General features: G+C 40.7%; 1 protein-coding gene and 2 long non-coding RNA genes across 4 annotated transcripts in view, besides 2 other annotated features; 2 read left to right on the plus strand and 1 right to left on the minus strand.

Annotated features, from left to right (window-relative positions):
- LOC124901969 (uncharacterized) overlaps positions 1-6,291 on the plus strand; it is a 17,324-nt gene extending 11,033 nt beyond the window's left edge. Inside the window, exon 4 of the long non-coding RNA XR_007060985.1 lies at positions 6,140-6,291. This is a non-coding gene — a long non-coding RNA (uncharacterized LOC124901969). The remainder of the gene's footprint in view (positions 1-6,139) is intronic.
- The window catches only part of LOC105375936 (uncharacterized), a 21,059-nt gene extending 9,153 nt beyond the window's left edge, over positions 1-11,906 (minus strand). For both annotated transcript variants that reach the window (XR_929126.3, XR_929125.3), the window contains exon 1: positions 11,766-11,906. This is a non-coding gene — a long non-coding RNA (uncharacterized LOC105375936). The remainder of the gene's footprint in view (positions 1-11,765) is intronic.
- A 1,972-nt stretch (positions 11,907-13,878) lies between these two features.
- CA13 (carbonic anhydrase 13) overlaps positions 13,879-26,321 on the plus strand; it is a 38,616-nt gene continuing 26,173 nt past the window's right edge. The window contains exons 1-2 of the mRNA NM_198584.3: positions 13,879-14,286; positions 19,161-19,358. Of these exons, the coding sequence (NP_940986.1) occupies positions 14,250-14,286; positions 19,161-19,358 (235 nt within the window). The 5' untranslated portion in view covers positions 13,879-14,249. The remainder of the gene's footprint in view (positions 14,287-19,160; positions 19,359-26,321) is intronic.
- Positions 14,134-14,213: a silencer, noted in NCBI's record as "silent region_19336". NCBI's record gives its function as "represses an Ori minimal core promoter by ATAC-STARR-seq in GM12878 lymphoblastoid cells {active_cell/tissue: GM12878}" and the evidence as "EXISTENCE:reporter gene assay evidence [ECO:0000049][PMID:35858748]".
- Positions 14,574-14,683: an enhancer, noted in NCBI's record as "active region_27594". NCBI's record gives its function as "activates an Ori minimal core promoter by ATAC-STARR-seq in GM12878 lymphoblastoid cells {active_cell/tissue: GM12878}" and the evidence as "EXISTENCE:reporter gene assay evidence [ECO:0000049][PMID:35858748]".

The raw sequence follows: 26,321 nt of genomic DNA on the forward strand, positions 1-26,321 counted from the left end.
AGGCTGGAGTGCAGTGGTGCGATCTCGACTCACTGCAACCTCCGCCTCCAGGTTCAAGCGATTCTCCTGCCTCAGCCTCCTGTGTAGCTGGGACTACAGGCATGCACCACCATGTCCACTAACTTGTATTTTTAGTAGAGATGGAATTTCTTCATGTTGGCCAGGTTGGTCTCGAACTCCAGACCTCAGGTGATCCGCCTGCCTTGGCCTCCCAAAGTGCTGAGATTACAGGTGTGAGCCACTGCCCCCAGCTTTTTTGATATATTTCTTTACAATCTTTTTTTCTAGGCATATATACTATATTGCTTATTAAAATTTCTGTGTAGATACTATTTTATAATCTATATATATATACACTTTAATAAGTAGTTTGGAAATATGGCATTTAATGTCTTTCAAAAATTATATCATTTTGATATACATAAGTTGTTTTAACCCTTTTCTTATCATTATCACTTCTGTTGTTTCTAGAGCTTTTTTCTGTTATAAATACACTGTAATTAACATCCGTTTGAATAATCTTTGACAGAATCTCTTAATATTTTCTCAGGCAGCGTGTCTATCAATAAGATCTAAAGTTATGAATACGCTTAAAATTCTTGATTTAAATTACCAATTTTTTTCCAGAAGATCATATATTCTACATTTCTACCAATAGTGTATGGACATGGCTGTTTCGCCATATTCTTATTACACAAATTGTTTATACATTTTTGGTGGGTTTTTTTGTTTGTTTTTTTGTTTTGTTTTTTTTGAGACAGAGTCTTGTTCTGTCATCCAGTCTGGAGTGCAGTGGTGCAATCTCAGCTTACTGCAACCTCCGCCTCCTGGGTTCAAACTATTCTCCTGCCTCAGCCTCCCGAGTAACTGGGACTACAGGCATGTACCAGCACGCCCAGCTAATTTTTGTATTTTTAGTAGAGATGGGGTTTCACCTTGTTGGCCAGGCTGGTCTCGAATGCCTGACCTTGGGTAATCCACTTGCCTGGGCATCCCAAAGTGCTGAGATTACAGATGTGAGCCACCACGCCTGGCCACTCTTTTTTTTTTTTGAGACAGGATCTTGCTCGCTTTGTTGCCCAGGCTGGAGTGCACTGGTGAGATCACTGCTTACTGAAGCCTCCATCTCCTGGGCTCAAGCGATCCTTGCACCTCATTGAGTAGCTGGGGCCACAGGATTGTGCCATCACACCCAACTAATTTTTGTATTTTTTTTTTTTTTTTGGAGACAGGGTTTCACCATGTTGCCTAGGCTGTTCTCAAATGCCCAGGCTCAAGTGATTCACCCACCTCAGCCTCCCAAAGTGCTGGGATTACAGGCATGAGCCACCGTGCCCAGCCTGATACGTTTTTAGAAGCAGAAAAAATTTGATTAGGAAGAAAGGGCATACAGATTGTTTTAAAATTATACATCTTTTGAATTTTGTTTTAGGCTTATAGTATAGTGGAGTATTTTTTTGTGTCTGTGAAATTAACTGATTGCTTAGGAGTTAAAACTGACAAAACTTAGAGGTGAAGAGAAAAAGAGAAAATCAGAAATTAATGTGACTATGAAGTTTCTGGTTTGTGCATCTGGTGGATGGTGGTACCATTGGATGAGATAGAAATGTGACAGGGAAGTTGGGACAGGGAAAAACTGTATAATTCCATGTGAACAATTTAAGTTGAAGTCATTGGATCTAATTCAGTAGATCTAGAGCTGTGCCGCCAGCATAATAGCCACTAGCCTCATATGGCTATTGAGCTCTTGTAATGTGGCTACCCTGAATTGAGATGTGCTGTCAGAATAAAATGTACACCAGATTTGGAACTCTTTGTAAGAACAAAGAAGGTAAAAGATAAATGATAGTATCAGTTAAGATCCAATCAGGAGACAAATCACACAGTAATTTGAACAGGGAAAGTTTACTGTAAAGAATTATTAAGTATAATGGGGCAACTATAAAGATGTAAAAGATAACTCTAAACAATATCCCGAGGCTAAGGAAGTTTCTAATGAGGGACAAACTTGGATGCCAGCCTCCGTTCCAAAGGGATTCAGATCACTGGAGAAGATACGGTTGCAACCCAGTGGATGACAGAGAAGTTTGCTGGGTTGTCCAGGTCTGAGCTGGTCCACAGTTACTAGACAAGCGAGAAACAGGGTACAGGTGGGCTAAGACTGGTGTGCAAGACTACAGGTATGCAGAGGGACTCAAAGCATTGGGAACAACTCTGGCTGACAGATGCATAGCCTAGAGTGGACAGTGTCCATGTCAGGAGGCCATGGGAAACACTCTTTGGGGTGCAGGCAGACTAGGGCTGGTGGGCAGGTATGCAGAGGGAGTTGGGGCATCTGCTTGCCAATAGGGTGGCATGAGGCCTGGAGTATGTGGGGTTTGTTTTGGGAGGGGCAGTGAGGTGGTCACTGGGTTAGGGCTAGGGTTGTCAGCTTACTGAGAGACTGCATACTCTTGAGTGTGCTGCTGGGCCGGAGTGCCTGGATGTCTCTATACACGGCCACATGTGGCTGCTGAAAGCAGCCCAGCAGGAACAAGAATAAAACAAAAAACACAGCATTCAGGAACCAGGAAGAGAAGTTCCTTTCTCCAGCAATGACCTTCTACTGAAGAAAGCTTAACATTATGCTTGCTGCAAAAAAGAAATGCTTAAAGCTTCATTATCACAGAGCTGGTAATGCAGGGTAAAATTAGACGTGAAAGACAATAAATTGATAACTGAAACACTCATTAATTTTTATTTATTTTATTTTTTTTGAGACAGAGTCTCACTCTGTCACCCAGGCTGGAGTGCAGTGGCATGATCTCAGCTCACTGCAACCTTCATCTCCCGGGTTCAAGCGATTCTCCTGCCTCAGCCTCCCGCGTAGCTGGGATTACAGGCACCCACCACCATGCCCAGCTAACTTTTTGTATTTTTAATAGAGACGGGGTTTCGCCATGTTGCCCAGGCTGGTTTCGAACTCCTGAGCTCAGGCAATCCGCCTGCCTCGGCCTCCCAAAGTGCTGGGATTTCAAGCATGAGTGCATTAATTTTTTTTTTTTTATTGACTAATGTTGAAATGATATTTTTGATGTATTAGGTTAAATAATATATATCATTAAGAATAATTTCACTTTCCTTTTTAGTTTTTAAAGTGTACCTAGTCAAAAATTTAAGTAACATATATGCTTAGCACTTGGACAGTTCTGGAATGGATGTCTAAGCTAGGTAGATTACTTCCATAAGAACTGATGGAAGGGCCTAGGAGGAGAGTGTAGAGAGAGGAGAGATTATAGGCCCCAAACCCCCAAATTTAAAGGTTGGTGTGATGATTAATTGTATGTGTCAATTTGGGCCATGAGGTGCTCGGATATTTGGTAGAACAGTATTCTGGATGTTTACATGAGGGTGTTTTTGGAGGACATTAACATTTCAACCAGTAGATGGACTAAGGCGGACTGCCTCCCTAAGGAGCTGGGCCTTATCTAATCAGTGAAAGCCTGAATAGAAAAAAAAAAAAAGCTGACCCTCTTCCAAGTAAGGGAAACTTCCTTCTGCCTGATTGTCTTTGGGATAGGGCATCGGCTTTTTCCTACTCTAGGATTCAAACTGAAACAATGGCTTTACCTGGGGTCTTGAGCCTGCTGGGCTCTGGACTGAAACTACACCATCAGCTCTCCTGGGTCTCCAGCCTCCAGCTTGCCTACTCACTCTGAATATCTTGGGACTTGTCAGGCTTCATAATGAAGTGAGCCATTTTTAATAATAAATCTCATTTTCTCCCTCAATACGTATACATGGTTTTGGAGAACCCTAACTAATACATAATACAGTTGAGTATAGAAAGAAGAACCCAAGGAATTCCAGAGAGCATGGGTGGGTAGCAAATGGAAAATGTAAATTCAGGAAGAAAGTTTCCTGCTAATGAGAAGAAATTCCAGAACATGTTAGTATGCTGATGGCAATAATAAAGAAGAGTGAATGGAGTTGGCAATGGAGGCTGTAAGGGATAAAATATTATATGTTTGGCAAGAGTGCAAGGTTTTGCTAGGCACATAGGGCTAGTGCAGCAAGCTTTCAGTAGTGAAATGGTGGCAACCAGGTCAGAATTTCTTGGAATGAGGGTAAATCACACCTTCCTCGGTGGTGAGATGGGGATATGGGTACTGCTTTTCATAGAACAAACTGTCCGGCCAGGGGGATGGTGGCTCACACCTGTAACCACAGCACGTTTAGAGGCCAAGGCAGGTGGATCACCTGAGGTCAGGAGTTCAAAGCCAACGTGGTGAAACTCCGTCTCTACTAAAAATACAAAAATTAGCCAGGTGTGGTGGTCCATGCCTGTAGTCCCAGCTACTCAGGAGGCTGAAGCAGGAGAATCACTTGAACCCGGGAGGCGGGGGTTGTGGTGAGCTGAGATTGTGCCACTATACTCCAGATTGGGCAACAGAGTGAGACTCTGTCTCAAAAAAAAAAAAAAAAAAAAAAGGAACAAATCTTCCTTTTCTAGAGGACAGAAAGGAATAGATAAACCTTACAAGAGCTGATGACAGAATGCCGTCATGCCCCTAATATCGCTCTGTGGTTATATTTCAAAGAGTTGACAGCAATAGAATGACATTGACTTATTCATTCTAGGCCAAGGAACTACTAAATTCTTTAACAGCCGAATTACTTTGGCATGAATTATCTGGACTTTTCAACACTGATCTGATGTTTATACAAGTGTATTTCCTTTCAAATAGTCTTGATGCTTCCTTTTTCTCTTTCACACTTTACCTACTTTTGTAATATGCACAAATAAGATATGAAACACTACAAAATAGGGTGTAGATAAATTTCGATTAGAAAACTGTATAAAATTAAACAAAAGAACAAAAATGTAGAAATTGGGTTTTAGCAATGTGTTCTTATCTGACAATATAGGACAAAGAAATGTTTGGCTCTAGTTTCCGAAAGCTATCATTGGAGAGGTGACTGGGGAAGAGATTTATTGAAGTTATCCTTTCAATTTTGGTCTGAGAGTCCTCATCTTGGTGTGAAACCTTGGTCACCTGAGAAAGTCCTTTAACCCTTTTGAGTCTCAAATTCCTCTTTGGGAGATTGCATTATGTAAGACTAACCTTAGGATAACCTTAGGAATAAGAAAATAAAGAAATCGAAACCCCATATAGTATCAGCTCCATAAAGTCAACAATCTCCACAAGCTATCAAGTGATAAGACATTCTTGTGGGTAGTACATCCTGGTTGTACAAATCACAGGACTCAATGAATAAAGGAAGCTGGGCACAAATTGGAGAGCATCTTGGACTTGGGACTCTGCAGACTGGTGCTATGTCCCTGACTGTGTGGCTTGCCTCTCTAGGGGACTGGGGAACCTTGCTCATCTAAGTTTCGTGCTTGGTAAAAATCAGATGATAATAGCTACTTTGGTTCACATTTAGAGTTTTTAAAAATAATACCTGGGGGCTGGGTGCGGTGGCTCATGCCTGTAATCCCAGCACTTTGGGAGGCAGACGCAGGCAGATTGCCTGAGGTCAGGAGTTTGAGACCAGCCTGGCCAACATGGTGAAACCCCATCTCTGCTAAAAATACAAAAATTAGCCGGGCATGGTGGCACATGCCTGTAATTCCAGCTATTCGGGAGGCTGAGGCAGGAGAATTGCTTGAGCCCAGGAGACGGAGGTTGCAGTGAGCCAAGAGGGTACACTCCAGCACTCCAGCCTGGCCAACAGAGCAAGACTCTGTCTCAATAAATAAATAAATAAATAAATAAAAAGAATACCTGGAAAAATGTGCATCTCAGGGAGAGTCTGTATACATGCCCTAATAAAACAACATGAACTTATACTCTGATATTTCCTTAATATGTTACTGTGTTAATTAAATATTTTTATGGCTAGATTTGTAATTTACAAGTGCTGCTTTATTATGACACACAGTGTCATTGAAGAGGAGAGCGGACTTCAGCACATTTTGTTCCTTAAGGGAGCTTAAATTGGATCTAACCAGTTCAAAAGTGAAGTGAAAAAAAAACACACATCTCCACTGACCAAAAAAAGAGTGAGGTGGAGATGATGACCATATCGTGGGTCAGCATTTCTGGGTTATTTGGTTAGTGTTAGTCTTTTTGTTTTTGTTTTTTGTTTGAGACAGGGTCTCACTCTGTCACCCGGGCTGAAGTGCAGTGGCATGATCACAGCTCACTGCAACCTCCGTCTCCTGGGCTCAAGCAATTCACTGCAACCTCCACCTCCCAGACTCAAGTGATTCTTCTACCTCAGCCTCCCAAGTAGCTGGGACCACAGGTGGGTGCCACCATACTTGGCTAATATATATATATATTTTTTTGGCAGAGACAGGGTCTCACTGTGTTGCCCAGGCTGGTCTTGGACTCTTGGGTTCAAGCAATCCTCCTGCCTTAGCCTCTCAAAGTGCTGGGATTACAGGTTGTGCCCAACCAGTGTTAGTCTTCTTTTACTTGATTACACTTAATGGTTGTAAGCCTGGAGACAGAGGCTCCTTGTTAAAGAGAAACCACACAAATAGTTATGAAAGTTATTTAGTAAGTTAATGGATTCATTGATTTGAAGAAGTAAAAAGATGTTTGTTTCCTCAGTTGTTTTTTTTTTTTTGAAAAAATTTCAAACCTACGGAAAAAAAGTAAGAATATTATCATGAGCTCCCAAATATCCTCCAGCTAGATTAATCAATTATTTACTGAGACATTTGGAAGTCAGTTTCAGACATCAAGATATTCAGCCCTAGCACTTTAGGAGGCCGAAGCAGGTGGATCACCTAAGGTCAGGTGTTCAAGACCATCCTGACCAATATGGTGAAACCTGTCTCTACTAAAAATAGAAAAATTAGCGGGGCGTGGTGGTGTGTGCCTGTAGTCCAGCTACTCAGGAGGCTGAGACAGGAGAATTGCTTGAACCAGGGAGGAGGAGGTTGCAGTGAGCCGAGATTGCGCCACTGCATTCCAGCCTGGGCAACAGAGCAAGACTCAGTCTCAAAAAAAAAAAAAAAAAAAAAAAAAGTACTTCAGCCCTGTAGCTTTAGTGTTGAACTCTTAAATCATTCTCAGTACCATTATCACTCCTGAGAGAATTAGTATCAATTAATAATATCACATAGATGCTGTCCATATTTAAATTTCTCCAAATGTCTCCCAAATATTTATTACAGCTTTTATGTAACCTAGAATCTAATTAAGTATCATACATTGCATTTAGCTGTTACATATCTTTTGTCTCTTTTAATCCTAGACTGTGTGAATATCCTATTCCCCAATATCCTTTCATCCAGAAGTTTTAGTACCCATTACTGATCCTTGCCTGAATCAGAGATTATACAGAGATTATATAGGCCTTGCAAAAATGGTGGTTTTAAAATTTTATCATTTCATCTGTATTTGCTAGTGGACATAAAGAAGATCTCTCATTCTCTCTCAGCATCACTATGCACTGATGGATATTTGGTGGGTGGGGAGTTATAATCTATTACTATCATTATTTCTTTTGATGGTCAAATTATCCCAAATTTGTCAGCAGTTCCTCCTTCAAGCTACCTTATTTGTGCGTATCTGTGTATGTGTGTGTGTGTGAATGTGTCTGTGTGTGTGAATGTGTCTGTGTGTGTGTGTGTGTTTGAATGCTTTCTAGCTTTCTGGCATAAGAAATATGTTCTAGGCTCATCTTAGTCTTTCTCTGCTCTAGACCTGAAACTGTTATGTAGGTAGTCAAGCAGACCTAAGCAGGGCAGGAGAGCCCCTACTGCCCCCCAACCAAGAATGTCAGACAACCATCAGGTGATGGTCAGGCGGTTATCAAACTGCTTCTCTAAAATAATAATTGGTTGCAGCTGGCATCAGGAAAAGGCAGTCTCCCAAGAGATAGAAACACTTAAAGTTGGTGATCAGCAGCTTCCCAGTAGGATCTCAGGAGTTGGTTGAGTGGTCTCAAGCATGCACACTAAGAGGCAAATGGCAGAGTTTAACTGGTATATGACCTTCCTTTAGGAACACTCAACTGGTAAGGAAAAAACCCCTCAAGTGAGCATGTGCACAATTTTGGTAAACACACTGTGCATACAGCCCCTTTCAAGTGTTGGCAGTCCACTATGCCTGCGGACAGCCCACCCCAAAGAAGAATCAGGGAAGAAGGATTGCAAGACCCCAGAAGCATGCCAATGTATAAGACCCCAAGTCAAAGGTCAAACAGTGCACTTCAATCTCTCAAGTTGCTGGCTTGGCCCTCTTCCAGGTGTACTTTACTTCCTTTTGTTCCCTCTAAACTTGTTAGTGAACTTTCATTCCTGCTCTAAAACTTGCCTAGGTCTTTCACTCTGCCCTATGCCCCTTGGTCAAATTCTTTCTTCTGAGGAGGCAAGAATTGAGGTTGTTGTAGACCTGTACAGGTTCGCAGCTGCTAACAAAACTAGTCACTTCTCCAAATAGCTCTGGTTCCTTCGAAGGGGGAATGGTGTTTAGGAAACAAGATCTGGGTGCTAGTGTTTAAATCACCTTTGCAAAAATCATAATAGTGAGAAAATTGTAACAGTGAAAGAGGTCTTACCTAACCAACTTCATCTTGCCTTTCACCTCCAAACTGCCCTTGATCATTTCTGGGTGTGAACCAAGCTAACTTTGGGAGAAATTTAGTTTATAATTTCAATGGTAATAACCCTTCCCAAAGCCATTTATTTGTTCTGTAGCTCACGACATTTTCAACTTCCCCAATTACTCTCATAAATAACATCACTATTGTAGAACCTGAGATTGACCTTTTGAGATGTTTTTTCAGGCTTTTGCATGTATGATGACCAGATGGCCCCACCCAGACCAGCAACTCCTCTGTGGCCCCCACCCAAAAGTGGACTCAGCTCATGAGGACCATTTTCTACACCACCGTAATTGCATTTCCAACCACTCAGCATCACCCATTCCCTAGCCCCCTGCCTGCCAAACTATTCTTGAAAAACCCTAACCTTGGAATGTGGTGGGAGGCTGATTTGTGTAATAATAAAACTTTGAGTAGGGCATGGTGGCTGACACCTGTAATTTCAGCACTTTGGGAGGAGGCTAAGGCAAGAGGATTGTTTGAGCCCAGGAGTTTGACTGGGCTCATAGTTTGCCTGGGCAACACAGTGAGACCCTGTCTCTCCCCACTACAAAAAAAAAAGTTAGCCAGGCATGGTGGCACATGCCTGCAATCCCAGCTACGTGGGAGGCTGCGGCAGGAGGATGCTTGAGCCTGAGAGGTGGAGGCTGCAGTGAGCTGTGATTGCACCACTCCACTCCAGCCTAGGTGACAGAATGAGACCTTGTCTCAAAAAACCAACCAAACAAAAAAGCTCCAGTCACTCATTTAGCTGGCTCTATTTCAATTCCCCTGTCTTCATCAATAATTAGTTCTGCCTAGGAAATGGGCAAGATGAACCCATTGGGCAGTTTCAGTGTCTCATAGCAAGGGGTAGATTCAGATTTGTAGAGCCTGAAGCTACTACAATTTTGGGACTTTTTTTTTTTAAAGAAAAGGAATGTAAAGTTACAAATATAAAATTAGTATATGGCTTTAGAAGTGGTCCCTCAGTGAAGGGCTATATATTTTAAGGTTTATTAGCTTCATTATTATTGGGATATTATTGTTCTTGGGATCTTTCAGTGAAGAGAATGTTCAAATGCAACACCACGGGTTTATTTCTTAGCTTCTGTCATTTCCTATTTTGTATAAACCAGAATGAAAATCATGCTTCCAGAGATTATCAATATATTTGTTCATTTGCTCTATCTTACTATTTTCACACAAGTGGTTTCCAGCCAGGCACAATGGCTCATGCCTGTAAATCCCAGCACTTTGGGAGACCGAAGTTGGTGGATCACTTGTCAGGAGTTCCAGACCAGCCAGGCCAACATGGTTAAACCCCGTCTCCACTAAAAGCACAAAATTGCCAGGGCATGGGGGTGGGCACCTATAATCCCAGCTACTTGGGAGGCTGAGGCAGGAGAATCGCTTGAATCCGGGAGGTGGAGGTTGCAGTGAGCCGAGATTGCACCACTGCACTCCAGCCTGGGTGGCAGAGCAAAACAACATCTCAAAACAAACAAACAAACCAATAAAAAATGGTTTCAGAAGCATAACACCAATATCCTACCAAAAACAAACCTACTAGTAATGTTCAAGATTTTCTTTCATTTCTTCTTAATATGTTATATGTCCTACTAAGGATATATAGCCAAAGTACTATAGTCGAACGCTATTTAACTTTTTCTTTATGGTTACATTATCAATTCAATATACAATTAATTTTAATTGTTTCTGTTTGAATTCAATTTCAGGGTTTGCTTTTTTATTCTCTTTAATTTAAATTTATTTTTTAAAAATGCAGAACAATGTTAAAAGAAAAATCTTAGACAAATTAAATTGAACAGAGTTTAATTGTGCAAAGAACAATTTGCAAATTGGGCAATGTCTCCAATCAGAATAGGTTCAGAGAGACTCTGGCCCTTCTGTGTGGTTAGATTGATGGACAGAGAAAGGAAAGTGATGGACAGAAAATGGAAGTCAGGTACAGAAACAGCTGGTTTGGTTACAGCTCAAAGTTTACCTCAGTTGAACAGGGTTTGAACAGTTGGCTGCCTTTGATTGGCCAACATTCAGTGATTGGCACAAGAGTGGGCTACAGTCTATTTACACATCTAGTTAGGTTAGAGTTCACTATATACACAGAAAACTTTAAGCTGGACTAAAATATGTAAGGAGGCAGCTTTAGGCTAAAGTTAATTTACGACATTTATGATTAAAAGTCAAAAAGATACACTGAGAAGTTTCACTTATCCCTCTCCCTCTGTTATTGGAAAGAGGTCCCAGTCCAGACCCCAAGAGAGGGTTCTTGAATCTCATGCAAGAAAGAATTTGGGTTGAGTCCACAGAGTAAAGTAAAGGCAGGTTTATTAGAGAAGTAAAGAAAAAAAGGGGCCGGTGCGGTGGCTCACGCCTGTAATCCCAGCATTTTGGGAGGCCGAGGTGGGCAGATCACGAGGTCAGGAGTTCGAGACCAGCCTGACCAACATGGTGAAATCCCGTCTCTTCTAAAAATACAAAAATTAGCCGGGCGTGGTGGTGGGCGCCTATAGTCCCGGCTACTCAGGAAGCTGAGGCAGAAAAATCACTTGAACCTAGGAGGTGGAGGTTGCAGTGAGCTGAGATCGTGCCACTGCTCTCCAGCCTGGGCGACAGAGAGAGACTCCATCTCAAAAAAAAAAGAAACAAAAGAATGGCTACTCCATAGACAGAGTTGCCCTAAGGGCAACTGGTTGTCTACTTTTTATGGTTATTTCTTGATTACATGCTAAACAAGGGGTGGATTATTCATGAGTTTTCTGGGAAAAGGGTGGGAATTTCCTAGAACTGAGGTCTCCTCCCACTTTTAGATCATATAGGGTAATTTCCAAATGTTGTCATGGTATTTGTAAACTGTCCTGGGGCTGGTGGGAGTGTCTTTTAGCATGTGAATGCATTATAATTAGCATATAATAAGATTTGAATGGAGTTGCTGTGGTTCCATTGCCTCTGACACTTCCACCCCATTCACACTCATCCTCTATAAGGAACTATTTTTATTAATTTATGGCTTTTTCTCTACTTTTTTGGTAAAAATCTGAAAATATGTGTGCAGTTTCTTATTTCTATTTTTTTCTTAAACATGCAGTCTATTATATACACTCTTTTGCTCCTTTGCTTCCCCCGCTCCCGCAACCTCAATACATCCCAGGACTCACTTTATATCTGCTCTGCTCATGGAGATCTTCATTCTTTTTATAAATGGACAATAGTCCATTGAATGGCAGCTGGGCGCAGTGGCTCACATCTGTAATCCCAGCACTTTGGGAGGCCGAGGCGGGTGGATCACCTGAGGTCAGAAGTTGGAGACCAGCCTGGCCAACATGGTGAAACCCCATCTCTACTAAAAATACAAAAATTAGCCACTAGTAATGCATGCTTGTAATCCCAGCTACTCTGGAGGCTGAGGCAGGAGAATTGCTTGAACCTGGGAGGTGGAGGTTGCAGTGAGCCGAGATCGCACCATTGCACTCCAGCGTGGGCAACAAGAGCGAAATTCCATCTGAAAAAAATATATATATATATAAGTCCATTGAATGATGGATGCTCTACAGATGACCTAACTAGTTTCCTATGAAAGGTAATTTGATTGTTGCCAATACTTAGGTTGCTGTTTTAGAAAATTATATAGACTGCGCTATGAATTTAAACAAGAAGGAACTTGAAACCACTACTGCAAAATTATAATTGAAACAGTGAAAGAGATTGGACCTAACCAACTCTATCTTATTTCTAACTTCTAAGCTGTCCTTACTCATTCTTAGGCATAGGCTGAACTAACTTTGAGGAGGAACATAGTTTATAGTTTAGAACAAAGACAATAACAGCCCTTTCCCAAAACAAACCTTCTTTCCTGGGGACTGGACCGCCTTTGCAGGACTAACAAATTAGCCAAAAGATTAGAAATTATGGTTTAGGAGTCATACAGCTGGAGGCTGTATGATTCTGACCCTCCCCAAATTGCTCCTGGGAATAACATCACTATTGTAAAGCCTAAGACCAGTGCTTCAGATATGTTGCAGACCCTGCACTGGATGGATCAGCAGGCACCACTCAGCTCGATAAACTGGCTCATCTGATCCCATGGCCCCCACCCAGGAACTGACTTAATGCAAGACAGCTTTGACTCCCTATGATTTCACCTCTGACCCAAACAACCAGGTCTCCCGACTTACTGGCTCTCCTCCACCCACCAAATTGTCCTTAAAAACTTTGATCCCCAATGCTTGCGGAGACTGATTTGTGTAATAATAAAACTCCAGTCCTCTGCACAGCCGGCTCTACGTGAATTTCCCTTTATGAATTGCAATTCCCCTGTCTTGATAAATCAGCTGTGTCTTGACAGTGGGCAAGGTAAACCCATTGGGTGGTTACAAACTGTGTACCCAAGCAATAAAAGTAACAATTTGGGAAGTATTTGAGACCCACCAACCAAAATTTCTTTAACAATTTTGGTCTATTCAGTCATTCATCCATTCATGTAACCACTATTATTGGGTGTCAAGAACTGATACTTACTTAGAACGTTAAGAGCATTATTCATCTTGACATACCAAATCATCCGAGTTACTGAAAATTGGTTTACTAGGTTCCTTACAAAGAGGTTGCTTGGATTTATAAAATATGAGGCAGTTGACCCGAGACAAGGACGTAGAAAGTGGTTCATGTACCCAATTTTTATTTTTCACTTTGAACCCAGAACATTCACGACTCCAGGCCAGAAATTCAAGACTCTGCAGCTAGTTCTGACTCCAGTCCTAGGGTAACAAGCCCACCAAGAATCCAGGGCAGATGTCCTGAAAACCCTTCTTGCGGGGTCAGGAGGGCAGCAGAATTTTGGGACCAAATCTCAACAACTGGTTTTGGTTTCCTCACTCACCAAGCCACAAGCCTGCAGAGTGAGAAGAGGTAAGGAAAGGATGAATGGGCAATGGAGCCAGCCCAGGACCGGGAGCTGGTCCTCTCTAACAGCGACCCCGCCCGCTTTAGCTGAGCGACCCGGGGCAGGTTACATAGTGTCTCTAACTTAAGCCACGTGTTTCTCGAGGAAATGCTGAGAGGATCTAATGGGAAAACGTGGGTACACGTCTTAGCTAAGACCCTCGCCCACGATAAGCCCTTAATAAGTAGTTATTTTTCAGTGGTGGTGATTACCATCGTCATTATTGTTTTGTATTTGTAATCATCACTGCCACGACCATCACCGACCTCTTTTACGCCTCCACCGGGATCCCCACCTCCCAGCCTGGCAGTTCCAGGCTCTGGTGACTCATTCACTTCCTGGAAGTCCTCTAGGCAACACTTTCCTCTCCCGAGTGACGACTCCTCAGAAGGCAGGAGATCCCCCCCGGAAACCTTTCTCTCTCCGTCTCTCCCTCTAACTCAAATCTCTCATTCCCGAGTCCAAACTAAGAGAGACTCGCGCCCCAGGAGTCAGCCAGCGGCGCGGGCGCCTTCCCCGCACGCCTCTGCCGTCTGGAGGACGCAGGCGGGAGCGCCCCGGACCGGGTTCACGGTCTCGCACTCCTGCCGCCGGCGCCCCGCGGTCCCGCCCTAGCAGGCTCCTTCCCGGGCCCCTCCCCGCTCCCTCCTCTTTCTCGCTGCTCAGTCACATCTTTCTCTTCCTTCCACCCCGAGGGACCATGTCGAGGCTCAGCTGGGGATACCGCGAGCACAACGGTGAGCGCCTTTTCCTGATCCAAGGGGGGGTTTGTGCGGGGGACGAGAGGACTAGCGCGACGCCCCGGCGCTCGCTGACCACACACTGGGCTCGCACATTGAGAAACTTTTTCGGTTCCTCTTTAAACTAAGCAGCACTCCTGGGAGCCCAGTGCGAGAAGCGGAGAGCAGTCTTGTCAGGGTAGACGGGTTGTTGGTGGTGGATGTGAGCGTTGGTGTGTGTTATCTCTGTCAGGATTCCCCAAACTCCCAAGTGTTCATACGTGTGAGTTCACCTTCATCTGAAAAGCCAAGGACTTTGCCTAGTAACAGCCACGTATCAATTACAGGCTTGGAGATCAGAAGTCTGATGACACACTTCAGTGAAATAAGGACAAGTTCGCTTTCAGTCTTTTAAGCTCACTATTCACTTAGGAGAAACAAATCATAGAAAATCTTTAAAAATATATTTAGGAAATCTTAACTTGCATTGTGACACTGAAGATTAAGTTGGCTTCGTGGCAAACAAAATACTGCATGTTTCCTAATAGTTGTTACTGTAAATATTCCCACAGCAATTTGCAGTTGGCTGACTACTACTGGGGACTTTAGTAAGGGTTCAGGTTCTCGCTGGGAAATTAAGTTACATTGTGGGTTACTTCTCCACTCTTCTTCTCCACGCTCATCCTTGCAGGGTGAGCAAAGGATTACTGAAATTATAATTCATTGATAGAAATGTATTAATAGGATAAATAATAATGACATACACTTTTCTTCTTGTATATCACACATTATCAAAAGTAAAACATTTTTTCTTGTTCCTACGTTAAACTGAACTGATTGTTTAAATAATAATTATTTGAAATAATCGCAGTGACACCAAAAAGCCTTATAGTGAATAACTGTCAAAATTAAGGCTTAGTTTAGCCATTCCTCAATGTGCATATATTTCAAAACATCATGTTGTACACATAAATATATACAATTTTTGTCAATTTAAGAAGTAAATACATAATAAAGAAAAAAATTAAGGCTGTGAATAATAATGCTTTCCTTCTATTAGCATGTACATGATTAAACAGTATAGAATGGTCAAATTTTATAGAAAGTTTAATTTCACAAACTAACAGAAAAATTCTATTTCTAATTGTAGCCTGTTTAATTTCTAATTGTAGCCTGTTTTTAAACATGCTAGTTTAAAAATGGCAGCAGGTGAAATTTATAACTTTAATAATAAAAGGTGTATAGTCAGATTTCTTCTTGATTAAGGCCATAATTATAATCTTACATTTTGCTAATTTCCAGTGAATGTTTAGGGGGAAAATATGACAAATCTTTTTTCATTTCCCTCTCTGCTGAAGTCGTTTTTATTGGAGTTATTTAATAGTCATTGAATCCCAACTGCGCCTTTATGGTAGTTAGGAAGAAGAAGGGTATTTCAATCAATCAATCAATGGATATTGATTACTCTTTAGTAGGTTAGAAATTATTCACCTGAATGAAGCTTATTTCAGCAATTTTAAAAATTCATCTTAGCAAAGCCATTAATAAGGAGTGATTTTGTATTTCTGTTAGGAATTGTTCTGTTAGGAATTAGCCATTCCTTTCTTTTAGATGCGATCTCTCTCTGAAGACCACATCCTTACTTAAAGGTGTGGTCTTCAGAGAAAGATTGGGAAAATCCTATTGGAAATGTATTATATACTAACTAGGCAAGTTTTTTGTTTGTTTGTTTGTTGTTTTTGAGATGAGTCTTGCTCTGTTGCCCAGGCTGGAGTGCAGTGGCACTATCTTGGCTCACTGCCATCTCCCTCTCCTGGGTTCAAGCGATTCTCCAGCCTCAGCCCCACCAAGTAGCTGGGATTATAGGCATGAGCCACCATGCCTGGCTAATTTTTGTATTTTTAGTAGAGACAAGGTTTCGTCATGTTGGCCAGGCTGGTCTAGAACTCCAGACCTCAAGTGATCTGCCTGCCTTGGCCTCCCAAAGTACTGGAATTACAGGCATGAGCCACAGCTCTGGGCCTAACTAGGCAAGTTTTTTGTTTTTTTTTTTTTTTCTGTTTAAACATTGGTAAACCAGTGACTGAGCAGATAAAAGGAAACTTAAGCTGGGAATAGCAACACTGATAAAATAAAACATCAAGACTTGAAGCCCTGAAAGGGTACTGCCTTCACAAATAACTTAGGATTCTTCCCCTAACCTTTGACTACTTTATTAGTTTAGTTTAGCGAATGTGACATCACTGAAAAGTGTATATCACTGTAGGTATTTAAAAGTTCCTAAATCAGTTGAGCAACCACCACATATCTCTAATTAAGAATTATGCTGGCTGGGCACGGTGGCTCATGCCTGTAATCCCAGCACTTTGGGAGGCCAAGGTGGGTGGATCACCTGAGATCGGGAGTTCAAGACCAGACTGACCAACATGGAGAAATCTCGTTTCTACTAAAAATACAAAATTAGCTGGGCGTGGTGGTGCGTGCCTGTAATCCCAGCTACTTGGGAGGCTGAGGCAGGAGAATTGCTTGAACCTGGGAGGCAGAGGTTGCAGTGAGCGGAGATCACGCCATTGCACTCCGGCCTGGGCAACAAGAGTGAAACTCTGTCTCAAAAAAAAAAAAAAAAAGAAAAAGAATTATGGTGGCTTGCACCTGTAATCCTAGCTACTCAAAAGACTGAGATGGGAGGATTGCCTGAGGCCAGGAGTTCCAGACTAGCCTGCAGGGTCATGGGGGGGACAAGGAGAAGGAGGAGAGGAGGAAATTTTTTTTGGAAAAATTGAAAAAGGGGACCTCTTTAAGAGGCAGGGTACTGAACTGACTATGGTAGTTAGTAGATAATATTGGGAATGTGATACAAACAATTATTACTTTTATTTTATTTTGGTTTGACTTCTTTTTAAAATAGTTCTGTTTATAAATGACTGGAAATAGGAGAGCAAAGCAATTAGGAGAAGAAAGCAACTCTATTGATTGGAAGAATGTCACCTGCATATTGTAACACATGCATTGCGCATTTGAAATTGAATTTTCGTTAGGTTAACTCTTACTTGGTGGCAGTGAAATAGAAGGCTTTTTCTGAATTAAGGGGGAAAAAAGTCTAGGTTATATATAGAAAAAGTACTCAGAAAGATGGTGAAAGTATTGAATAAAAAAGGCTTTTTCTGTAATACATTCTAAGCAAGGACTTCTGATGCTCAAGTGGCTTTGAAGTCCAGTTTGTCAGATGACATCTTTTAAGCTGAGTGTATAGTTATATATTTATGCTATGACTTTTTGTGCCTGAAGCATATATGAAAGAATGTATGTATGTGTGAGTTCTCTTTTGCAAAAATGAGGCATAGTAAGCAGTATCAGATTTAGAGTTTGGGCCAGGCGTGGTGGCTCATGCCTGTAATCCCAACACTTCAGGAAGCTGAGACATGCGGATCACTTGAGCCCATGAGTTTGAGACCAGCCTGTAGTGAGACTTTCAACAAAAAAAAGTTTTTTATAAAAGTAGCTGGGTGTGGTGGTGCACACCTGTACTCTTAGCTACTTGGGAGGCTGAGGTGGAAGGATTGTTTGAGTTTGGGAAGTTGAGGCTGCAGTGAGCTGAGATTACACCTCTGCATTCCAGCCTGGGTAACAGAGCAAGACCCTGTCTCAAAAAAAAAAAAAAAAGATTTAGAATTTTATGCTTTAAAGTTTGTTGATGATTGTGATATATTGCATTTCTTTAAATATTACTCTAAATTTTATCATTTTAAAATGTTTTTGGTTGTCGTTAGTAACAGGTTTAATTAATTGTCATGCTATGATGTTTTAATTAGTACTTGATTTTTAGTGAAAGATTGGTTAGCAAAGTAGGTGGGTAAACCTTAGTCAGTAGCCCAGTGTAGGTGGTGATAGCTGTATAAATTTCAGGAATAGTAGAGAGAATAAGAACCTATAACCTATAAAGTGACTCACATCTGTAGAATGACATGGAACTTACGTGAAACTACAGCTTTGCTGCTGATTTTGAGAGGCAAGACTTTATAGAGTCTTCCAAAGAAGTGAAGAGGATTGAAAAGGGAACTGTTAGCTGATTGGCTCGTTTCAATTTCCCTAACATGTCTGATTTGTGAACTTGATACGATTTTGACGTTTTTGAGTAGAGGACCAGGATGATACCTTTCTCTTGTGTTGAAATTCAAATGTAACATTGGCAAAATAACCATAGAAGAACCTTCTGAAATGAAGAAAGAGAGAAATAAATTACAATCTGACTCTACTGCAGATAATCAACAATATTACGTTTCCTGACGTGGTGCAGCCATTTTATTTGGATTATCCTAGGTGAAAAATTTGTGTGTTTCCTTGGTATGCCTGTTGCACATCACAGGTAATTGAGTGGAGGCCTGAGTGACACTAGACGATAGCATTGAGTGATAGAAGGAAGAATAAAGAAGTAAGCACAGCATCTTTAAGAATGACACCCTTTCTTTGCTTCATGGCTTTCTCAGCTTTTTTGACTCTTCCAATCTGCAAACTTGAACTCTGGAGCAATAGCTCATTTTTGGAGCTGAGACTGAATGTCATTGTTTTCAATGATGAGTTGTATTATTGTTTTTAGTTTGGTAGAAGGTTACCTTTGGAGAGTATTTTATAAAATTTACAGACTCTTGTCTACAAGGGTTACTTTAATTCTGAACATGACTTAAGGCACACCAAGAGTTTCCCACATCTATAATAAAAACAACTAATCTTGTAAAAAAAAACAATTAGATGCCAAGGTCCTGAGGACGAGAATCTCATTTTATTAATCTTTGCGTTTTCTTCAATTTCAAGCACAGTGTGTTATACTCAATGTATGTTTGTTGAAAGAAAGAACTTATTTAATCCTTTTCTTTTGGTCCTATATATTTAAGGTCCTATTCACTGGAAGGAATTTTTCCCTATTGCTGATGGTGATCAGCAATCTCCAATTGAGATTAAAACCAAAGAAGTGAAATATGACTCTTCCCTCCGACCACTTAGTATCAAGTATGACCCAAGCTCAGCTAAAATCATCAGCAACAGCGGCCATTCCTTCAATGTTGACTTTGATGACACAGAGAACAAATCAGGTTGGCTTTTCTTTTTTTGTGTGTGTGGTGGTGGATGAAGGGTTTGAATGATTAGACTATACTCTTTTTTTTTTTTTTTTTTTGAGACAGAGTCTCGCTCTGTCGCCAGGCTGAAGTGTAGTGGCGCGATCTTGGCTTATTGCAACCTCCGCCTCCTAAGTTCAAGAGATTCTCCTGCCTCAGCCTCCCGAGTAACTGGGATTACAGGCGCACGCCACTATACCCAGCTACTTTTTTTGTATTTTTAGTAGAGACAGGGTTTCACCATGTTGGCCAGGATGGTCTTGATCTCCTGACCTCGTGATCCGCCTGCCTCGGCCTCCCAAAGTGCTGGGATTACAGGCGTGAGCCACCGCACCCAGAATACACTCTCTAATCTTTCATGTTTTGTTTTTGCTAGACCTGGAATTTGTCAAATTGAAGCATATTTTTCTTCGTGTGAATTAAGATATCTTGTTATATATTTGAACCTTCAGATAATCTTACCTTAAAATAATAAAGAGTATTTGGAAAAGGATATGTTGCATGATAATTTAAAATTGACCTTAGCTTGTTATTATAACTTCACTTAGCATTTACCATTATAAAAATATTAAAGTTTAATAGTTTTTATAGATATTTCATGATTTGTTTCTGCAAAGTTTTAGCCGTAATTATTTTAGCATTATTTGCAAACCTATAATGCCATTTAAGTACCTGCTTTAATAGAAAAAGTTTAGTTTAAAAAAAACTTATTCTCTTATTTTAATTGCCAAAGTAATATCCACTCATAGTAAATGAAACAATATGGAAACATATAACAAATATTAATGTCTCTTTCTTCCCACAGTCTCTCCTGAAGTAACTAATGTTATTTCTTCCATAATATTTCGGTGCTTAGTTATGTATACATACATGTGTATCATCCTTGTTTTGCATTTTCTTATTAAAAATACATTTGGAATAATGCTATATAACTCTGAATTTTTTTCTTGTTTAAAAATATTTTATAGACATCTTTCCAGATTAAAATATATCTTGTTTAAAAAGCTAAACTGCAGCCGGGTGTGGTGGCTCACATGTATAATCCCAGCACTTTGGGAGGCTGAGGTGGGAGGATTGCTTATGTCTAGGAGTTCAAGACCAGCTTGGGCAACATAGTGAGAACTTATCTCTACAAAAAATAAAAAATTAATCAGGCATGGTGGGGTGTGCCTTTACTCCCAGCTACTCTGGAGGCTGAGGCAGGAGGATTGCTTGACTTCAGGAGGTCAAGGCTGCAATGAGCCATGATAGTGCCACTGTACTCAGCCTGGGTGACAGAGCAAGATCCTGTCTCAAAAGATAAAAATAAAAGTAAAATAATTTTAAAAGTTGAATTGTATTAGCTATGCTTGTATCGTAATTTATGTACCATTCTCCTAACAATGGACATTGAAGGGAGGGAAAGTAGAAGTTTAATTTTTTTAAAAAAATAAATATATGAAACTTTTTTACTGTATATTCCCTATTAGTACTTTTTTCTAGAACACGTAATCATTTCGTTTAATGATTAGTTCTTGGGATAGTGTCTTTCACACCATGAATAAATAATGGACTTATAGATTATTTGTTAATTTATTAAATAAGTGATGAAAAAACATTTTCTTGAAGTGAATGTTTAATCCTTCTTCAGACTATCTACTGCCCAAGCAGAGATTCTGCCCAAGGTATCAAGTTTAAATGTAAGATGAGATAAAATATTAGAGAGAATCATATTTGGAAACACTTTTTAGGGCCTCTGACAGATTGTTTTTATTTTTAATCTAAGATCAGGATGATGCTGTATTTGCTCTATTAATGAAAAAATATAGTTAATTTTTAAAAATCCTTAATTGAAAGAAAGTTTTTACTTATTAATTGAGCCCAGATTTAGATTAGTAGTAATATCTTGTATTTATGTAAAGCCTTATTGTTAGCAAAAATTATAAGCCCAACCACATTTCTTCTTCATATTTGTCAAATTCATAAAAGTAGTAAGTTTTTTTTTCTTTTCTTTTTTTTTTTGAGACAGAGTTTCACTCTTGTTGCCCAGGCTGGAGTGCAATGGCACAGTCTCGGCTCACCGCAACCTCTGCCTTCCGGGTTCAAGCGATTCTCCTGCCTCCGCCTCCCAAGTAGCTGGGATTACAGGCATGTGCCACCATGCCTGGCTAATTTTGTATTTTTAGTAGAGACAGGGTTTCTCCATGTTAATCAGGCTGGTTTCGAACTCCCGACCTCAGGTGATCCGCCCGCCTCGGCCTCCCAAAGTGCTGGGATTACAGGCGTGAGCCACTGCGCCCAGCCTTTTTTTCTTATTTATTTATTTATTTATTTATTTTTTTGAGACAAGGTCTCGCTCCATTGCCTAGGCTGGAGTGCAGTGGTGCAATCATGGCTCACTGCAGCCTTGACCTCCTGGGCTCAAGCAATCCTCCTGCCTCAGCCTCCTGAGTAGCTGGGACCACAGGCATGTGCTCCCATGCCCAGCTAATTTTTGTATTTTTCATAGAGAAAAGGTTTTGCCATATTGCCCAGGCTGATCTTGAACTACTGGGCTCAAGGGATCTGCCCGCCTCGGTCTCCCAAAGTGCTGGGAGCCACCACACTGGCCTAAGTAGTACATTTTCATCAAAGCATTGTAAAAAATGCATAAAGACAAATAAATACATGGTATTTTCAACTTTTCGGAGGAAATGCCAAGTAAGGAGGGACCTGGCCTTTTATATACATGTTCAACTATATTTCTTTCAACCCCTCAGTTTTGTGAATCTATGTTAATAAAAGTGGTTAAGCCAGGCATGCTGACACACACTGGTAGACCCCGCTACTGGGGAAGGAGGATGATTAGTTAGGCCCAGGAGTTTGAGGGCAGCTGGGCAACATAGGGAGACCCCATCTCTTGCGGTTAATGTAATAGATATATTGTAAAAGTGTCCAAGTCTTCTAAATACAAAGTTTATACCACATAAGTGTAGTTTGTTACTGTTTACAATATGTCAAACATTTAAAAAGTAAGCTGTCTCAGAAAATAAAAAGATAAATAAATAAAAAAATAAGGCCGGGTGTGGTGGCTCACATCTGTAATCCCAGCACTTTGGGAGGCCGAGGTGGGCAGATCACCTGAGGTCAAGATTTTGAGACCAGCCTGGCCAACATGCTGAAACCCTGTCTCTATTAAAATACAAAAATTAGCCAGGAGTGGTGACACACACCTGTAATCCCAGCTACTCAGGAGGCTGAGGTAGGAGAATGGCTTGAACCCAGGAGGCGCAGGTTGCAGTGAGCCAAGATCATGCCACTGCACTCCAGCCTGGGCAACAGAGCAAGATTCCATCTCAAAAAAAAAAAAAAGTAAAGCTACCCATTCCTCATTTTAGAATGAGAAATGATTATATTTTACTTCATCTAAAACTTTAAGTATATTTTTTATAAATGTAGACATTCATAGTGTAAAAATTTTCTACTCTAATTTGCTCTATGAGAACCCAGGTTTCTCTCTCTCTCTCTTCTGTTTTTCTCTTCCTTTCATTTTCCTTCTACTTCGGGTTAATCAGTGAAATCAATTTATGTTTCCAGATTTGACACTTAGTCATCAGTAGTGTGTGCTCTTTCTTTTAAATGAAGATCCTTTTCCTATCTAGTTCACAATAAAATTACCAGGATTAATTGAAAATATCCATAAAGTACTTTGTAGTCCTCTGAAACAGTAGCTATGTAAATATGGGTCATGATTCTTATTCTTTTTTTCTCAAGATAAACCAAAAGAGATTGTTTCATGGTGATTTGGGAGATTAAATCAATTAAAAAGAAGAAACCACCATAGTTAAACAAGTTTTTTTTTTTTTTTTGGTTTTGTTTTTTTTTTATTTTTGGTAAACTATAAAAAACACAAAGATACTTTCTGTAGCAAACCACATTAATTTGAATAAAACAGTTTCCATTTTGTAAAGAAGCCATTTTTGACCAGGATTAACCCTGAATCCCACCTCAGGCATGTCAATAAACCACAGGCATGAAATCTTCCTCATAGTTCTTGGAGGGCGTGTTTGGCTGGACACATCCATGCTCCATAGTTAAACCTTTAGAGAACTACCCAAAAATCCTTTCAAAAGGGAGTAAAAGGGAGGAGGTGGATGTGAAATTTTTCCCTTCCTTCCTCCTCCTTCTTCTTCTCTCTCTCTCTCATTCTTTCTTTCTTTTCTTGACTTTCTTTGTTCTCAGGCTGGAATGCAGCTGCCCAGCCATAACTCATTGAAGCCCGGAACTCCTGGGCTCAAGTGCTTCTCCCCACTTGGTTGCACACTACCATGCCTAGCTCATGAATTTTTTTTTTTTTTTTTAAGACAAGATCTCACTCTGTCACCCAGGCTAGAGTGCAGTGGTGCAATCTCAGCTCACTACAACCTCTGCCTCCTGGGTTCAAGTGATTCTTCCACCTCAGCCTCCTGAGTAGCTGGGATTACAGGCGCACGTCACCATGCCCAACTAATTTTTTGTATTTTTAGTAGAGACAGGGTTTCGCCATGTTGGTCAAGCTGGTCTGGAACTCCTGGCATTTTTAGTAGAGACAGGGTTTTGCCATGTTGGTCAAGCTGGTCTCGAACTCCTGGCGTTTTTAGTAGAGACAGGGTTTCGCCATGTTGGTCAAGCTGATCTCGAACTCCTGGCCTCAAGTAATCCACCCGCCTTGGCCTCCCAAAGTGCTGGGATTATAGGCATGAGTCACTGTGCCATGCCTGGCTCATGAAATTCTTTAGGAAGACTTCCAATTGGCTGTAATATACAGGGGAAATAGTAGTTTGAAGAAGAAAGACAAGGCTGTTCTCACCTGAGCTCCTGGTCTTTCTGGACTCAAACAGTATCTCGCTGCTTTGGGAACCTCACCTGAGGCCCTACCACCCTTGCTGTGGCTCCCAGGGCATTCTGGAATTTTCCTAACACAGAACTCTCCACATTATGTTGTAACTGCTAGTTGGCTTCTCTGTCTTTCCATTTAGCTAAAGCTCTCTATGAGCAACAACTATGTCTTACTTACCTACCTAGCATGGTGCCTGGCACATGGTAGGTGCTCAATACATGTGTGTTTAAGTTACAAAAAAAAAAAAAAAACTTGTATGACGGAAAGACATGGAAAATACCATGACATAGCATTGGGATGCCTTAGCATACATAGATTAACTCTCGATAAAATTACAAACCACCAGAAATCAATTAATATTTGCCGTTTAACACTTAAATAGTTAAACATTATTCATTGCTGGAACCTTTATTTTTAAAAAATTTGTGGTACTAATTTTTGTATTTTATAAATGAAATAGTTCTTGGATTATAGTAGGCGCTCAATAACAATTAGTAACTACTACTACTAACAATAATGGTGTGTGTTCTTTTTGTGGATAAAATATGTGTGCTGAAATTTTAAAAAGATATCAAAAAGAAAGTTGTCTTCTGATTAAGAAAGTCCTGCTAGGAAGAGCAGTAACTTGATGAATTCAGTGATCGTTCTTTAATTTTCATCTCTAGAAAATGCCAATTTCTCAGTTATGCTTCCATTATCTAGTTCTAGGTAACTGCCTGAAGTCAAACAAATTATTCACAAGATCTTACACTATATATTCTTAAAACAAAAACAAAAACAAACAACAAACAGAAAAAGATTTAGTAGGTGGACATACCATAGGTGTATAATCCCCCCAGGAGCCAAGATAGCTAGGAAATGAATTGGTAACCTATGACAATGTGACAATTATATAAAGCTCTATTATGATTATTTGTTTCCTTCACTAGACTAAGTTTCTTAAGGATAAGGACAAACTTGTTTATCATTGCATATTTAGTATTGAATAATTGCTAGCCCATCGTAAGCTCTTAATGATTGTTGAATGAGAGAGTAGCTTGGTGTGTATATGCTCTGAGTAAAATAAGCCAGATTTAATGAAGGTTCTTCTGGCTTCCTAAATAATACAAGGTCCTACTGAGTGGGAACATCTGTGTCCTTTGGTTTCTCTCTCTCTCTCCCTCTCTGTCTTTGTCTTGGTATAATCCTGGCAGATTTGTGCTCTTGGCTCTTGTTTCTCTAGATTCCAAGCAAATTGCAGATGTGCTGTTCATGTATCTTTACTTCAGAGAACAAGTTTACCATAAAGTGATTATTCTCAGGTTCACTAGTCCTAAGAACTTAGTTTTTAGTGATTCCCGGTAACTTCAGTAGCATCCCTACAAACTAAAGTTTGTGGAAGAGTGCTTTAACAGGTGAGGTCTCTTATTTTATCTTGGTAATATTAATTGATTCAAGTACTCTCTGGGCACTGGAGATACAGGGGACCAAAACAGTTTCTGCCTTAAAGGAATTTGTATCCTAATTAGCAGAGAGTAAATGCGTGAGCAAACAGATCCTGTTGCCAGCTTGCTTGTCATTCAAGACAGCTGACTACAGTGTAGTTTAGGAAAATGGCCAGGGTTAGCAAATTACCAACAATTTTTAAAAAGTCAAATTTAAGGCTGGTGTGGTGGCTCACACCTGTAATCCCAGCAGTTTGTGAGGCTGAGGCAGGAGGATCACTTCAGACCAGGAGTTTGAGACCAGCCTAGGCAATATGATGAAACCCCATCCCTGCAAAAAAAAAAAATACAACTAGCTGGACGTAGCTGTGTGCGCCCGTAGTCCCAGCCCCAGCCGCTAGGGAGGCTGATGTGGGAGGATTAATTGAGGCTGCAAGTTTGAGCCCCACTGTACTCCAGCCTGGGCAGCAGAGACCTTGTCTCAAAAAAAAAAAACAAAAACGAACAAACCCCAAAACACTGCAACCTCTGCTTTCTGGGTTCAAGTGAGCACTTTTGGCTAATTTTTGTATTTTTTTTTTTTTCTTTTTGTAGAGACAGGGTTTCATTGTGTTGGCCAGGCTGGTCTCAAACTCCTGACCTCAAGTGATCCACCTGCCTCAGCCTCCCAAAGTGCTG

Source organism: Homo sapiens, chromosome 8, assembly GCF_000001405.40.
Source record: "Homo sapiens chromosome 8, GRCh38.p14 Primary Assembly".
In the NCBI taxonomy this organism is placed as follows: Eukaryota; Metazoa; Chordata; class Mammalia; order Primates; family Hominidae; genus Homo; species Homo sapiens.